Here is an 18,179-nt window from a genome sequence, read left to right as displayed (position 1 = left end):
AAAAACAAAAAACAAAAACAAAAACAAAAACAAAACCTAACTTCTTAGCCTTGCCCAGCTTTTCACAATTAATCTTGACAGTGAGTCCCACATGTCTCTGGGCCAATTTTTGCTTGAAAATGCCAGCTCTCTATCAGCCATTTGCAATATCAAGGGGATGCACAAGCTCCTCCCCACTTTCCCTGCCTCGGCCGACCGAACTCTTCTGGTGAGGCACCTGCCAGCTGAGCTGACCGCTGAGGAGAAAGAGGACTTGCTGAAGTACTTCAAGGCACGGTTGGTGCATGACCTGTCAGATAAGGGGCAGCTGAAACATACAGCTTTTGCCACATTCCCTAAAAAGCAGCTATAAAGGCATTGACAAGACTCCATCAGCTGAAACTTTTAGGTCATACTTTAGTCTTTGAATTTGCAAAAGAGCAAGATCAAGTTCACTCCCCATGTCCCACTCCAGTCTCTGAAAAAAAAAAAAAAAGGTCTGATGACCCTGTTGAAGACGATAAAGAAAAGAAAGAATTGGTTATTTAACAGTAGAAAATGTAATTACACCAAACCATGGGCTGACTTTTCTTAATTCATGCCTCAAGTATATGTACCCACCACCTTCCAGCACAATCCTAACAAACAGAGTAAATGCTTTGGCAAGCGTGCCTAAGTTCTATGTACAGGTCCTTCATCTTATGAATAAAATGAATTTGCCCACAGCTTTTAGATCAATTACTGCGCAGCCTCCCATCTATGAAGACCATATGCCATTGCATCCACCTCTTCCACCCACATCTCCTCAGCCACCTGAGGAACCTCCTTGGCCAGAAGACGATGAGGAATTATCTAGTGAAGAATTAGAAGATGACAGCAGTGATGATGAGGACCAACAGAAAATGAACAAACTAATGGAACTAGCAAATCTTCAGCCCCAAAGACCCAAAACAATAAGGCAGCGCCATGTGAGAAAAAAGAGAAAAATAAAGGATATGTTGAACATACTTTCGTGTCCTTCACAAAACAGTTTACATCTAGTGCTGTTACCTTCGGATGTATTTGACCAACCACAACCTGTAGGTAATAAAAGAATTGAATTCCATATATCTACCGACATGCCAGCTGCATTTAAGAAAGATTTAGAGAAGAAACAAAATTGTGAGAAAAAAATAATGATCTACCTGTTACTGAAGCTGATGCATCCAGTATAGGATTTGGAAAAATCTTTCCCAAACCTAATTTGAACATCACAGAAGAGATTAAAAAAGACTCTGATGAAATGCCATCGGAATGTATTTCTAGAAGGGAATTGGAAAAGGACAGAATTTCTAGAGAAGAAATGGAAACACTTTCAGTTTTCAGAAGTTATGAACCTGGTGAACCAAACTGTAGAATTTATGTAAAGAATTTAGCTAAACATGTTCAAGAAAAGGACCTTAAATATATTTTTGGAAGATATGTTGACTTTTCATCAGAAACACAGTAGATCATGTTTGATATACGTTTGATGAAAGAAGGTCGTATGAAAGGACAAGCTTCCATTGGACTTCCTAATGAAAAAGCAGCAGCAAAAGCCTTAAAGGAAGCTAATGGATATGTGCTTTTTGGAAAACCCATGGTGGTTCAATTTGCTCGATCTGCTAGACAAAAACCAGATCCTAAGGAAGGAAAAAGAAAGTGTTAAAAATTAATAAAGGTTTCTTTTGAATCCTGTATCTTTCAAGGGCTTTCCAACTTGGACAGGAAGAAATTGACCACCTGGACTATGGAACTGTGCATAACAGCTTTGAAAGTATATTTAAAAATTAAATACATATGCCTTTAAATCAGTGTATTGGAACTATATTATATGTATTTTAATGACCTTCCTCAAATATAATAAATTATTTTCTTTTTCTTTCTTTCTTTCTTTTTTTTTTTTTTTTTTTTTTTTTGAGATGGAGTCTCGCTCTGTTGCCTGGGCTGGAGTGCACTGGCACGATCTTGACTCACTGCAAGCTCTGCCTCCCGGGTTCACGCCATTCTCCTGCCTCAGCCTCCCAAGTAGCTGGGACTACAGGCGCCCGCCACCACACCCAGCTAATTTTTTTCTGTATTTTTAGTAGAGACGGGATTTCACTGTGTTAGCCAGAATGGTCTTGATCTCCTGACCTTGTGATCCACCCGCCTCAGCCTCCCAAAGTGCTGGGATTACAGGCGTGAGCCACGGTACTCGGCCACAGGTACAGTATTTTAAGTCTAATAATAAAAGAATGCTTACATGTCAGGTAAAAATGTTATCAACTAACATTATAACACTTGGAAATTTTTTGTATATGTGATTCCCTAGTACCTAATTACCGAACAAGCTTTTTAAAAATACGCATTTCTCCCGCAAATGATAAAAAGCCTGTGATTAGTCACACCTGTAACTTGTAAGTTTATTCATTAGTTCATTCAGTAGTTATTTATAGAATACCTACTCTGAGCCAAGTACTCCCATAGAACATTGAAGAGAAACATAGTCATTAACTTCACTCATTCATCTAATAAGTTCTGTGAGGTAGGCTCTCTGCTGTGTGCTAGAGATATGGTAGGGGATAAGACAAAGTACAACCCAGGAGACAGACAATCAAATAATCACAGTGACCGATTCAAGAGGTGAGAGAATGTTCAGGAAACCAAGGCCAGGAGAGATTGTGACTTCCCCAGGGTACCCAGTTAGTCAGCGAGGAAGCTGGACCTAGAATCTGTCTTCCGGGCATCCGCCCAATCTGTTCAGAGGCAACAACATTGAAAATGGCTCTCACTCCCTGCATTCCTGCTATGCTACTTCCTGTGCTGGGTGCTCATTTATCCTCACACATGCTGGCTCCATTTCATTCTGATACCTTAAAATGATTCTGGAAAGGGAATCCTCAGAGGCCCTCCAAAAGCCTGAAGGCTTTACCTTCCTGCACTCTCCCTGCCCCCAACACATCTGCACATCTCTGAGAGGGGATCTGCTCCTCCCTACAAACTTGAAGGCACCTTAAAGGCTTTCTACTCCCTGGCTCAGTTCCCTGCCCAGGTGACATGTGAGCAGTGACAAAGCCATGTAAACTATTCCCAGAACACTGGTTTCCAAGCATGGCTGAACGCCATAATCACCTGGTCAGGGGCTGGGGAGTGAGGGAGTGTGCTTTAAAACTAGCTTACCCGGCTGGGCATGGTGGCTCATGCCTGTAATCCCAGCACTTTGGGAAGCTGAGGCAAGTGGATCGCTTCAGCTCAGGAGTTCGAGACCAGCCTGGTCAACATGGCAAAACCTTGTCTTTACAAAAATACAAAAATTAGCTAGGCGTGGTGGCAGGCATCTGTAATCCTTGCTACTCTGGAGACTGAGGCACAAGAATCAATTGCCTGAGCTCGGGAGGCAGAGGTTGCAGTGAGCCAAGATCACACCACTGTACTCCAGCCTAGGCAACAGAGCGAGACTTCATCTCAAAAAACACAAAACAAAACAAACTAGCTTACCAGCAAGGCATGATCTAATATAGAGGTTACCAAAGTATGTCCCCAGTCCAGCAGCATCAGTAGAATCTTTGAACTTGGTAGAAATGCAGAGTCTTGGGCCCCTTCCCCAGCCCCACTGAATGAGAAGTCTGTGGGTAGCCCCATCATCTGTGCTCTAACAAGCCCTCTGAATGGTTCTGAGGCTGTAACTATTTATCTAGGAGTTATCAGGTAAGGGCTAGGGACTATTTTTAAGTATTTCAGGTAATTTAGAAGTCCAGAGAGTTGGGAACCACAAGGAGAGCATTCCTCACTGCAAAAAACACACTTTGGAATGCCCTAGGACGGTGAGGTGAATGCTATACAAAAGAAAATATTGGAGAAGACATTCGAGAACAGTAAGGTTGGAAAAATTTGGCAGACAATTTAAAAATTGAAAAGCATTGCTATTAATTACAGTACATGCAAAAGTTATGCTATAGGATAAAAAACTTATTTTGCAAAACAATCCTATTTTGAGACCTAGAAAACTAATCTTTCAAAAGTTATCTATTCTAGAAACAATTTAAGGAATACATGCCTGAAATAGAGAAAAATCTTCTGTTTCACAGCTTTTCATCTTGAATAAAAAACATGTTTTTTTCACTATTTGTTTTCTTATTGACAGTTAATGTTAAATTATTACTGTTTTAAACGTTCATAATGTTATTTTACATTTGTTAATAAGCATATCTATATTCTTTATGTTCTTTAATAATTGAAAATTGGGCTGAGTGCAATGGCATAGGCCTGTAATCCTAACAATTTGGGAGGGCGAGCAGGTGGATTGCTGGAGCCCAGGAGTTTGAGACCAGCCTGGGCAACATGGTAAAACCCCAAACCCCGTCTCCACACACACAAAGAAAATATATAATAATTAGCTGGGCTTAGTGGACACGCCTGTAGTCCCAGCTACTCAAGAGGCTGAGGTAGGAGGATTGCTTGAGCCCAGGAGGTAAAGGCTGCAGTGAGCCAGGCTCACACCACTACACTCCGGCCTGGGTGACAGAGAGAAATTTTGTCTTACAAAAAAGGAAAATTAATAGGAAAGAGATAAAATTATAAAGACCATCACATTCCTGATTATAGACTGCATAGTATTAGTGAAAATAAAATCCTCAATGACTAATACTTTTTACCTCTTATTATTAATTCCAAAGTAAATGTCCCACACAAACAGTATAATAGGATAATTTTTGGCACCAAATCGATACTTGTTATTATATCCCAGGTCTGTCGAGACCCTGGTCAATGGTGGTGTCCCTCTGAGTCTCTTACGAGATTCATACCAAGTGCCTGGACTGTGCCAAGTAACACCCCGCTTCAAACACAACAACATTGTGCAGGGGGGATCCTTAGAATCCACACTTTCAAATGGGAGAATGCAAGCTTAAAGTAGTTAAGCTACGTAGCTGACTCGGCTGACTCCAGGCAGTCGGCCACCAGTCTTTGTCCCTGCCCTGTCACTGTCCTGTCTCCTTCACGCCTAAGGCAGCACCAGCACCAGAAACACAGTGGACGCTCAGGAAATTCAGCACTATTTTGTTTGTTTGCTGTGTGTATTGGCTTTTGCTTGGGCCGGCTTAAGACTTTCAAAGCCCCAAGTTACTGAAAAGCTTACATAATTCAAATTTTAAAACCATGCTCGACTATAAAGGAAGCTGAAGAAAGTCCAAGAAAGTCTTTATTTTTCTCATGATGACTCTTCTGATGCTTTGTTAAAAGATCAAATGTAAAAATTCTTTAAAGTAAATGTGTATTTTTTTTTGCCTTGCTTGGTACACTACAAACATACACACGATACAGTACAGTATGGGCCCATTTCAACTGATGGAGAGTTCTTTCTAGACATCCTCCTACTCAGGGCTTATGCTAGGTATGACTGAGAGGAGGAGATGAAAGGCTGCATTCTACAGCAGGGGTCCCCAACCCTCGGGCCAGGGACCAGTACTGATCTGTGGCCTGTTAGGAACAGGGCTGCACAGCAGGAGGTGAGCTGGCAAGTGGAGCTTCATCTGTGTTTACAGCTGCTCCCCATGGCTCACATCACCACCTGAGCTCCGCCTCCTGTCGGATCAGCAGTGGCGTTAGATTCTTATAGGAGCGCGAACCCTATTGTGAACTGCACATGCAAGGAATCTAGATTGCGTGCTCCTTGTGAGAATCTAATGCCTGATGATCTGTCACTGTCTCTCATGACCCCCAGATACGGCTTACCATTTAGTTGCAGGAAAACAAGCTCAGAGTACCCTCTGATTCTACATAATGGTGAGTTGCATAATTATTTCATTATGTATTACGATGTAATAATAGAAATGAATTGCACAATAAATGTAATGCGCTTGAATCATCCCGAAACCATCCCCCCACACCTCCAGTCCGTGGAAAAATTGTCTTTCATAAAACTAGTCCCTGGTGCCAGAAAGGTTGGGGATCACTGCTCTATATGATCATTGCTTCAGTGCATCCCTGACTCAGCAGACACTTGAGAGAGCTTCAAGAGAAGACTAGGTGCTAGAGGATACTCTCCTGCGTTTTTAATATTTCACTGCCAATTCAGGTTTAGTCGCCTCAGTCAAAAACAATCTTGGAGTGTCACCTCCAAGGACATTTGCTTGAGCATGGAGGCATGGCTGACTTCAGTTCTCACATGAGTGCAAGAGCTCCTCCTGCTGGCAGAGGTGAGAGCAACACTCCAGAGTACATGCGTGAAGCAGGCAGCTTCTGTCATCATGGCGGGCCATCATGGTATGGCGAGAAGAAACCAAACTTTGACGTGAATTGAATGTAAAAACCTGCATCCAATCAAATGCATGGGCTTGACTGTCCTGAAAAAAATCAAATTCTTCATCCTAGATTAGCTCTCGCTAATTTGGGGTTCTCTCAGAGCACTGGCTGACCGACTCGCCTTCTAAAATGCTAATCACCAAATGCCATACATCCCTGGGTTCCATTCTGAACTCCTCACCTTATTCCAAAGCCCCCATATGAAGTGTCTCTCGTGACAAGTGTGGGGAAAATGTGGTGAAGAGTTAAAAGTGAATCTCTTACCTCTTTGAACTGTTTTCTTCGTACTTCATGTACACAGATACACTTTTGATGTGTTAACTAGAAAATCTGACTAGAAAAGAACAAAGCAGCTGTCACTGGAAGGAAGACACTGACAAAAAAAACCACACAGCCCTTTATTGAAGAACTGTCAAGCCCATCCTACAGTTCTGGGGTTGTCTGTGGTATTTATCAAAGACCTAGATCTGATGCAGGAAATTAAAAATAATAATAATAATAAATCTATCCACTGGGCATTTATTAAAGGAATCTAAAATTCTATTACATTTAAAATAACCAAAATGGATATTTTAACAATTCAAATACAAGGTTGTTTGTATTAGTTACATATATATGCATATTTGTATATTCATGTGCATGCTTTCTTACCACAAAAATGCACATGTATATATAGAGAATAAAGATATATACATAGATAATGTGTTTACACACAAATTAAAAACATTTTTTCTCACTATGAGGAATCTTTTAATGTATTTAAACATTTTTCTTGATATAACCTTTATTTTAATATTACATATAAAATTGAAGCTTTTGAATATTTCTGAAATTTGCTTAAATGGTCTGTCCAGGAAAGTGGATTCCTGCATTTCATGTTGCTCAATGGACTCACAATATTTTCCTGAATGTCATTCCCAGCTTTGAGGTAATGTACATGTTTTTCTTTCCTCTGTGCCATTATATATTTATTATAAAATTTTCTGTTCTATGTGCTATTTCAGCCCAGTCCTAATTACTGTATTACATGGAATTCAATTACCGTTTTCTAAGTAAATATACTGTATGTAATAAGAGTAGCGGTCAGGGGGCAGTGGCTCACGCCTGTAATCCCAGCACTTTGGGAGACCAAGGCAGGTGGATCACCTGAGGTCAGGAGTTCGAGAGCAGCCTGGCTAGCATGGTGAAACCCTGTCTCTACTAAAAATATAAAAATTAGCCAGGTGTGGTGGCGGGCGCCTGTAATCCCAGCTACTCAGGAGGCTGAGGTAGGAGAATTGCTTGAACCCAAGAGGTGGACGTTGCAGTGAGCCGACATCACGCCATGGCACTCCAGCTTGGGTAACAAGAGCGAAACTCCGTCTCAAAAAAAATAATAATAAATAAATAAGAGTAGTTTTCTTACAAAACCCCAATGACATGAACACGAGGAGAAAAGAAATCTAGGAAAGAGTGCACAGAAAAGCAGAACAGATAAAGTTGCTAAGTGTAGCTGGAAATGGTCCATATATTCAAACAAATCTATCTCCTCATATTTTCTGGTCACATTGCCAGATTATAGGATAGGCTTCAGACTTGAGGCTTCACATCTTAGCTATATCACTTAAGAGTAGTATGTCTTTGGGCAGGTTACTTAACTTCTGAGCCTCAGTTTCTTCACCTGTAAAATAGGGGTAACAGCTACCTCACAAAGGTTGTTTAACTGAGACATATTTACCACAGCAGGGTCCCCACAACATTAGTTTGAAAGGAAGCAAGTAGATGTTGGATGCTAAAAAAGGGCTCGGGGTGCCATGGTTAAATCAGTTTGAGAGGTGGGACATTGAACAATGCAGAACAGATTTCTGTTTTACAGAACAGAATGCAGGGCTTCTCAGAGCCTTTCCCATGCTCCTTTTAATCAAAATATAATTCAGTATTCAGATTTCCACAGAATTATTTGACCTGAAATCCTTTTATGATGAGTGTTTCTGGGGATTAACGTTTCTCAGAACACATTTTGGGTGCAAAATAAAAGGTTGGGGGAAAAAAGATTCTAACAGACATCTCAGGTCAACATAAACTTTTTAATGGTACATTTGAACTTGCTGGCATAAAGACAATGTAACAACAATGGAGAAACTATCTGGTAATTCAGGTCACTACTGCCTCAGTTGCAAAGTGCTTCTCATGGTCTAAATTGGCAACCAAGTGTATTTGTCCGTGCATATTAAGAAAAAGATTATCTGGCCAGGCACAGTGGCTCACGCCTGTAATCCCAGCACTTTGGGAGGCTGAGGCAGCCGGATCACAAGGTCAGGAGATCGAGACCATCCTGGCTAACATGGTAAAAACCCCGTCTCTACTAAAAATAAAAAACAAAATTAGCCGGGCGTGGTGGTGGGGTGCCTGTAATCCCAGCTACTTGCGAGGCTGAGGCAGGAGAGTGGTGTGAACCCGGGAGGTGGAGGTTGCAGTGAGCCGAGATGGCGCCACTGCACTCCAGCCTGGGCAACAGAGCGAGACTCCGTCTCAAAAAATAAATAAATAAATAAAATTAAATTAAAAAAATTATCCAGAGGACAAATTTATTAGGTAAATAAATAGCTAGAAATATTTTTCATAGAAAGAATTTGTTAATGGTTTAAATTAGATTTCCTTATAAGTGCTTTAAATGTATTTATGTATCTAAACAATTATCAAGTTGCACTGTGGACCAAGCAGGTATCTAAATTGAGATCAGGACAAGCCCTGGGTAAGATATTGGTGGCCAATGATGTGGGTTTTATGGTCTTTCTCACCAGACCAACGCAAAGGAAGATTATCAGGGGGTTATACTGAGGCCCATGATCCCTTGTTTATTTTCAACTCTTAAAAGACAAAATACTGCATGGAACAAGGGCTCTATAAATATCTCTGTATAATTTAACTTTTCAATCAATTGAAGGCAAGAAGAATTGATGATTCATTTCTCTCCTTTTTAAAATTCTTTCTCTGAAAATTACAACATTTTCAAAGGATCTGATAAATAATATCAAGTTCATTGGCATTTCAAACAGACAAGACATTTATCTATTTTAAACTATGATGAATGTCATATTTCCATTCAAATTTGGGAAGATCACATTTTCAGCTACCAACCAACTATGGAAAAATCTTTCAGACAACAATAACCTCTTAATTGAAGATTTCTCTTAAAATTTTTAATAGAATAATGTGGGTGTTATCCTTCTGAAAAACAAAATTACTTTTAATGAAGCAGTTCAAAATCAGGGCAGAGAAAGAGCAAAGAGTTTCCTTGAGGTTCTGGTGACAGTTTACATAAAAAGATGTTTTATTTTCTCTTCCCAGGGTGTACACCATCATTTTATCTTATTATTCCTGACATTCAGTTCATCATATTAGCATCTTTGTGGGAAACAAGAAAGCAATTAAGGTTTTTGCTCTTTATTCTTTGGGAGACAGAGATTTTGCGTTTCTTCAAAACTCTTAATGATGAGGCAGACCTGGTCAAACACCAAATGCACGAGTTTTAAAATGCAATAAAGATAGAGCTTTAATAATTTTCAATTACAGTTATTCTGCAATAATGTTAGTGAATCTCATCTAAAAAGTAAATTATTCATTGAATAGGAAATAAGAAAGCTTTGGGATTGTATGAATCTCCCATTTAAAGTTTCACTAAGATTCTCCTTGATAAGGTCCTTTTAAAAGATTACATATTTTATACTTTGTTTCTATCCCTTTTCTTCATTCATGATGCTGTTTCTACTTTTTAATATACTTTTCTAACAAAACACGGTAGTTATAGAGTGGCCATTCAGACGGGTCTTTTCAGAATAAGTATTCATTCACTTGCAGCCAGAAATACTGATAATATGATATTTTTTTATTTAGTTTTAAGAATACATTTTCATTTTAAGCAAATGAAACTTAGAACCAAATAAAAAAAAACTGTCACTGGCTTTCATTAGAAAATTGGTAGGAAAAAGTCTCTCGTGTTGCCTTTGCATTGCGGAATCTTGCCTTTCATGTAAATAAATAGATCATTTACTGGAAAGTGCACAGAATACAGCAAAACTAAAGAATCCCAGAAAAATATTTTAAATCAAAATAAAATATGACAAAATGAAAAAGGGCAATGCAGACTATTTTCTTTAAAAAAAAAAAAAAAAAAGAAAGCATCGCCCTTCTCCTAAAACTTGAAAACAAGTCATTAACTTAGTCATTTTCTATATCCCCTTTGCAATAATTTCCAATATCTGTGCTCAGATAAATGCTAGATTCTTTATATCTCCCTGCTCTCTTTTCTCTTGCCATGAATTTAGTTACTTTCGTTAAATCTTCCAACCTTAAAATTGAAGAGGGTGTCAGAAATTTAACCTAGTGATTAGATTTGTGCAAAACTTTTGCAATGAAACTTTTGACTGGAAGACTTTACATGTAGAATTCTGGTACATATTCCAAACTTACACAAGACCTACGGGATGTGTTCCTGAGTTCAATAACAGATAAATTGGAAGTTCTCATCCAATAAATATCACCAACTTAACTCACAAATCCAAACTGACATGGTTGAGATGTCAACACTGGGCAACTTAGCACCCTGAGGGGTCAAATTCAGTGATTTCTTTTGAATATTATTTTAGAGTCAATGTGTCTTTTTGTTTGTTTTTTCAAATGTTGTTTAAGAAAGCATTTGTTTATTCATTTCAATGAGAAACTAGGTTGGGACAAGAATAAGGGAATAAATTCCTATGTCTGTAGACTCATAGAATAGAGGGGAGAAGAAAATTCTTACAAATGCCTTCATCTACTGATGTCCCTCATTCCACTTTACAAAGTACTTTGAGTTTATTACAATGACAAAGATTTTAATGACAAAACAAAAGAAAGAGAATCCACGTTGGCCCTTAATCAGTATCTCTGACTCTCTAAACAAGATGTGGATGCTTGTATCCTAATTAGCTTAATTTAAACTAGATACGTAAGTATGTCTAAGACATGAATATTGGGGAAATGATCTTTTCCGTGAAAATACTCATGAAACATCTTTGAAGAGGTAACTTTTGTTTTAGAATCCTTTTTGAAAATCTCTTTACTGAGAAAATTAAAGTAGCCCTAATATAGTGAACACACATAGTCCTTAAGATCTAAGAGGCATGGGTTCAAATTCTGACTCAGCCAATTACTAGAAAGCTTTAACTTAACCTCTCTAGTCTTCTGCTTTTTTTCTTTCTTTCTTTTTTTTTTTTTTTTGGAAAATAGAGATAATAATAATAGCTACCTCATGGATTATTGAGATGGCCAAAGGAAATAAACATCAAAATTTTCAGACCAGGCACTTAATGAATATGTGCTGATGACTAGTGAATTATTCTAATGAATAATCTGAAGTAATAAGGCATATTCTGCAATGTTATCAAAGTTTACGTAAGTCAAGATAAACTGTGGTCTGATGTAAGATTTGGTCCCTTTCAAATCCAGCATCATATACTTGATTCTACAATTTCCCCAAGTGACTATAAAATGCTCAGCAAAAGAAAATGAAAATAAAGTACTTCCTGCAATGCTAAAAGAATGTCCCAAAGGAAGCTATATCTTAAATAAAGCTTGAATTTGTTTAGAAATCTCACTTAAAGAATTGATATCTTCATATATAGTAATGCTTTGAATCCTATATTATAATTGAACCATCATGGGATATTTTTCTCACATAGATTCACTGTGTATCATCTCTACTTGGCCTTTGTTGAAGATGTTTTCTTTAAAATCTTTCCCCAGTGTCTTCATTTCTCAAAAATTCCACTTTTCTATCCTTTCATTTTTTGGTCAAGAGATCATGAGAATGGACTAAACAGAGGCACGAAGGTGCAGTAAAATATAAGCACTGTTGTGTAAAACTAAATGATTTCTACCCTACTTTAGCATAAATGAGTCTCCTGACAAATACTGTAAATAGAAAACTTACTAAAAATGCCTTTGAGTGGTGTGTTTTATTGCCTGTTTGCATAAACAACTTATGTGTGTCTACTTCACTTTCAATGTTGATTTATATTTTACTCTGTCGACAAAGAGATTTCGTTGAGGAAGAAACTTATCAAATATTTTCTACCGGAAGTCAAAAGAAACATCTGGCAAGAGTACAAGATCTAGACCCTTGTACACACGGGGTAATCTACTCATTGCAATGCTCCACAAAACATAGAGTAAGATTTGGTTTCAAACATTCTCATTATAAACACACATAAGGAAACTGGCACACACCAGAGATTTAGGCTCATGTGAATCAGAGGCTACTCAAGGTCAAACTTCCTTCTGACCCGCTCCTCTGGAGGGCACAAAACTGAGATGAATGAATCGGTGCCTCCAATTTGACCCACTTGTCAATTCCGACCTCGTCAGGGAACCCTATTGCATTAGTCAGCTCAGGCTCCTATAACAAAATACCACAGATTGGATGGCTTAAACAACAGATATTTATATCTCACAGTTCTGGAGGCTGGAAGTCCAAGATCAAGGTGCCATTTGCTTTGCTTCCTAATGAGGGCCCTCTTCCTGCTTGCAGACAGCTGCCTTCTCACTGTGCACTCACATGGCTGAGAGAGAGAGACAGTCCTGGTCTCATCCTCTTCTCAAAATGACAGGAATCCCATCATGGGGGTCCCACCCGCAAGACCTCATCTAAACCTAATTATTTCCCAAAGGTCCCACCTCCAAATGCCATCAACTGAGGGTAAGGCCTCACTACATGAGTTTGGGGCGGTGGTCAAGGGGACATAAAAATACAGCCCATAACATTTGTTTCGACATGTCAGTGTACCAAATATGACTTCCAAAACTCATAGCAGGAGATAAACTTGTACACATCCCTTTACATTTATGAGTGTGCTGGACTAAGTCCCTTAAGGCAAGCTCTGCCTTCACTATTTAAATCAGTGGTCAAATAAAATAAAAATAATAGTGTCTTCAGACAAATACGTAGTGAGATTTAATTATCTAAAATTTTTAAAGCCATCTAATTTTGCCTTTGTAAATAGACTGCTTGTATATAATTATTTGTAACATTGGTTTATGTGCAGTCACATGAATATGACCCAGCCCATTATTTACTCTGGCTTTTAAAAACTATGTGCATGATCAAAATATGAATGGCCTAATAACATGGAAAAATTGATTTGGGGAAAGTAAGAGAGAAAGAGATTTATATCATAGCATTACAACACAAATTAATGCTTTCATGTCTTTTAAATTTCTATTTTATCATTAATTATGGTGTGATAAAACTTCATAATTAAAATAACTATACCATATGCTGTTATATGTGTCCATTTTATTCTGAAAGGAGATATATATATGTCCTTTCATATGTTTTATTCTCAGCCATCTGTGAAAACTAATCCTGTGGCAAACATGGATCAGCAGTTCTTCAATTTGATGTTATAAAGCGTTAAAATACTTGGAATCCTAGATCCAGACATGTTCAACTGCTATTATATCTTGTTCATAGAAAGCACTCAATACTCCAAAATATGTTCCTGTGAGTTTTGGCATCTATTGTGAGAATGGAGTTTTAGTGACCTCATTCGAAGCACTCTGGGTTCTCAAGAGATAAAAAGAAAACCAAGTCTGCTATATCAGCAAGTGTCTTTGTATTTAAAATCCATCTTTTGAAAGAGTATGTAATTGGATTTTTGAAAACGAATTTAAATATCAGACTTCTAAGTGGCAAGTTTATTCATTCATATTTACTGTGATTATTTAAATATTTCAATTTATTTTGCATTTATTAATTGATTTTTACCATGCTTTCTCAACAATGTAAAGAAAAATTCTAGATGTACCCAAGAGCACTTGCATCCTATACATCCGTGGCATTAGGGTGAACTATTGTTCTTCTATCCTATTTTCTACCCTCTGCCATATTAGTCTTTTCTCCCATATCAATATCCTTTCAGGCTAACTCATATAATTTCCAATTTCCTGACTCACAATTGCTTCTTCTGTCCCACTCTTTCTTTCCTTCCAATGTTTCCATTTTTCTCTTTCCCCGAAGCCCCTCCTTTAGTGACTATTTTAGCAGGGTTTTATGAGAGAAACATGCTCTCTGGCTTCACCCCTTACTGCTGCATAGTAGATTTGTAGGGTACGTAATTGTACATTGATAGTTCTTTCTCCCAGCATTGTGCAGATATTCCATTGTCTTCTGACACCTGTTATTATTAATGAGAATTCTACTCTTGGAGGAATTACTGCTCCTTTATATGTAATCTGTCTTTTTTCTCTAGCTGTCTTTAACGTTTTCACTTTGGTGTTCTACAGTTTATTTGTGGTATTTCTAGTTGTTTAATTATTTTTGCTTACCCTGCTTCGGAGTCAATGTAATTCTTCAATCTGAAGATTCGTATCTTTCATTAATAGTTCACATTATCAACTATAATGTAGCTTTTCTCTCATTCATTCTATTCTTTCCTTCAGGAAAAATCTAGCAAATTATTTGGACCTTCTCATTCTACCTTTCAAGACTTTTAATGTCCCTTTCTTGTTTTCCAATTCTCTATGACTCTGGGCAGCAATAGATATTATTTGTTTAGATCTGTCTTTCTTTCTCGTTCTCTGTCTCTCCCTTTCCCCTCTCTCCTCTATATAGCTAATCTGCTATTTGACCTATCCATTGAGGTTTATATTACAACATTTTTTTGTTTCTGGAACTCCTGATTTTGGAACCAAAATTGCCAGTTCTGTTATTTATACTCTCTTTCCTCATTTATGAAGCCTTCAGGAAATTTAAACCTACTTATGTAATATCCTCTTTATAAGCTCAAGTTCATTTCAGTATCAGTCCTCTTATTTGTAAACTTAGTTGATTCTCCCTAGTAGTGAATCACTTCCTCATGTGCTTTGTAATTTTTATATTGTGGACACATCATCAGCTGAGGTTATTTTTTCATATGGGAGTCCTATGCATTATGAATTATGGAAACAATTCTGTTTTACAGTTTTTTATGTGGTCTGATAGGTGATCTGTCCTGTGTCTTAAGTTTCCACGTTAGTGTTAAGAATTCAGTCTTTTGTCTTTAAAAACTATGCATACGTCTGCTATCCTGATCATTATTCTGGATGATTCCCAGTATTTATAAATCACTTGAGTATTTATTTTTATTTCCTTTGAACCCAACAACGAATTGGTTTTAAAAAGTGTTTCATTTGTTTCTTTCTTATCTAGTCTATCATGTGTTCTTATGCAGGGTCAGAAAGCACCTTCACTAACTGTTGTATTGCAAGACCTAGACATCCCAACACCATGTCATTATGTAAAGGTTTAAAAACAATATAACACACTAGTCTTAGGGAAGAATCATCATTTACCAATGGATTTGGACATCATTTTTCAATGGACCAAGAGACATGCCTTTATTGATAACTTGGCCTTCCCATCATTTGGCTAATAATTGACCTAATGAGGAAGAGAGGCCCCCAGGCAAGCCAGGAGCATCGTGAGTAAATGGCTTTAGACAGAGGGTCTTAAATTTGATCAGAGAAACATTTCTCCCTGGTTACTAATTTCTTGTGTCCTGGGAGAAGTGTCTTGCCACACTTAAGATCATCCTAAGGACTGTCTTCTCAACTTTTCAAGTAGGTGGCGTACGTTCAGGTGTCTACTCACTTCACAATAATTTACCCTTTCTCTGGAAACTGCTTTTCACCACCGCCCTCATCTCCACAACAATGGGTCACCCATAGCCATATTTTCACTAACCTGAGCTGGGCCAATCTCATTTTCCCTTCAGGGTATTTAGAATTGAGACAGATAGAATTCGAGTTGTGGCTGGACCTACAGTATCTAAACCTGAGAGGTATAAGGTGACTGGATTCCACACCATGGAGAGAGATAAGGATATAGCAGCTCTGAAAGAGAAATAGGGATGAAAGAGAATTCTGACATTGGACCAGTTTCTGATTCTAGTTTTCTCCTGAGGACCAGCTGCATTATTTCTACACTGATTTCCACACTACCCCCCTACATCCTTATAGTAAATCACCCCTCTTCACTTGAGTTAGATGGAATTGGCTGCCATGTCTTGCAACCAGAAAAATCCTAAGACATTAACCCTGGGGATACAAATAGAGTCTGTGGCAGATAGCAGGGGAAATACTCTGAGCTCTAGGACAATCAGCATTTGTCCAGCACTGACAATGTGCCAAACAATAGCTGGTGCTGAAAAATCAAATACGAAAAAGACAGCTCCAGCCCTGGAGTATCTTACAGAGTAAGAGTAGAGAGAAAGACACACGAACATATGATGCAATACAAAATAATTCACCACCTCAAAGAAAGTTTTCTGTGTATCTCCACTTCCACACCACTAGCCAGACTAGGTTGGGTGCCTCTCCTACAGCACCCTGTGGTTATCACGATCACTAATGTATCAAACACTGTATAAGTTATCTATTCACTGGCCCACCTCTTTTGTAAACTGTGAGCTCTTTGGAAACAGAAATGGTGCTTTTCACCATAGTATCCCAAATAAATTGCAAAGTTTCTATGAAATAGCAGTTGCACAATAAATATTTGCTAAACAAATGACCACCTGTAAAAACAAATGAAGGTACCTCTACACAAATAGGACAGAAGAAAGAATAAGTAATTAATTTTATCTGGGAAGTCCTTAGAGGATCTTTTAAGGAGGCAGTATAATGTACAAGATAAGAGCACTGATTTTGGAGCCAGAGATGCCTGAAATCACAGAGTGGATCCCACGTGTATTAGCCACACAATCTTTTCTTCATCTGAAACGTGGAGATGCTCTTGATCAGTATCTCACAGAGCTATTGTGAATATGATGCGCAGGAGAGTATCCGAAAGGACACACATACTCATACGAGGTAGAGTCTGGCTTTCAGGGAAAGAAAATAGGATGAAACTGCAGAACCTCAGAGGCCAAGCTCTTCCCCTGCATGTTCTCTCTACACCATTTTTAAGTTGGCTGGTGGGATTAAGAGTGCAGCTTTAAGCACCTCTGTATGTGCTATTTGCCAACTTTAGCATGCAGAACTCAAGGAATTGTAGCCGGAGGAATTGTAGCCGGGATGGAAGTGGGCTCCACACAATTGGGGGCTTAGGGGAAATGACTGAGAGAAGAGGAGAGCTCCGGGAATGGTAGGAGTCCAGTCTAGGAGAGTGACTAAATGGTCAATCAATTACCGGGACAAGTTATTTTGGTGACACAGGTAGACTTGTGTTTATGTGAGTGGGCAGTAAAGGAACATCTGATTTCAATAGCAGATGTCTCAATAAGTGACTCTGATAAATCTCTGGTTGATAGAAGGGTGGTTCCAGAGGATTCAGTTTAGAGCTGCTACAGGGGTATGAGAATAAGATCATAACCTAAGAGAAAGGGAGGCTGCAAAACTCTTGTTCACGCATCATCAATGGGGCCAACATCACTCCAAGGGGACAAAAATTGTTCCTTAAGGGTTTAAAATCTTAGATACTATAATGATTTTTAGCCATCCAGTTGGCCACAGAACATAAGCAGATACATCTGTGGTATATTATTCAGTTCAGGCTGCCATAACAAACACCCATAGCCAGGATGGTTTAAACAGCAAAAAATTGCTTTTCATTGGTCTGGAAACTGAAAAGTTCAAGATCAAAATGCCAGCAAGGTTGGTTTCATTCTGGAGCATCTTCTCTTGGCTTGTAGGCAGCCATTGTCTCACTGTGTGCTCACAGGACTTCTTTGTGTGCATGCGGGGAGGGAGTGAGCAAGCTCTCCGGTGTCGCCTCTTACAAAAGCACTAATCTCATCATAAAAGCCCCACCCTCAAGACCTCATCTAACTCCAGTTATATCCCAAAGGCCCCATCTCCAACTCTCATTACATTGGAGTTTCAGTATATGAATTTGGGTGGTG

At 38.6% G+C, this 18,179-nt stretch overlaps 1 long non-coding RNA gene and 1 pseudogene across 13 annotated transcripts in view, besides 1 other annotated feature; one reads left to right on the top strand and one right to left on the bottom strand.

Moving 5' to 3' along the window:
• SAMMSON (survival associated mitochondrial melanoma specific oncogenic non-coding RNA) overlaps nucleotides 1-18,179 on the bottom strand; it is a 435,002-nt gene that overhangs the window by 307,859 nt on the left and 108,964 nt on the right. The gene's annotated exons all lie outside the window — the stretch shown is intronic.
• On the top strand, nucleotides 75-1,876 carry RNPC3P1 (RNA binding region (RNP1, RRM) containing 3 pseudogene 1; annotated as a pseudogene).
• Nucleotides 6,066-6,285: an enhancer, noted in NCBI's record as "active region_20057". NCBI's record gives its function as "activates an Ori minimal core promoter by ATAC-STARR-seq in GM12878 lymphoblastoid cells {active_cell/tissue: GM12878}" and the evidence as "EXISTENCE:reporter gene assay evidence [ECO:0000049][PMID:35858748]".

The sequence above is a fragment of the Homo sapiens genome, chromosome 3, assembly GCF_000001405.40.
Source record: "Homo sapiens chromosome 3, GRCh38.p14 Primary Assembly".
NCBI lineage: Eukaryota > Metazoa > Chordata > Mammalia > Primates > Hominidae > Homo > Homo sapiens.
The sequence above is the reverse complement of the archived record's forward strand: the minus strand, read 5'-3'. Positions and strand labels throughout refer to the sequence as shown.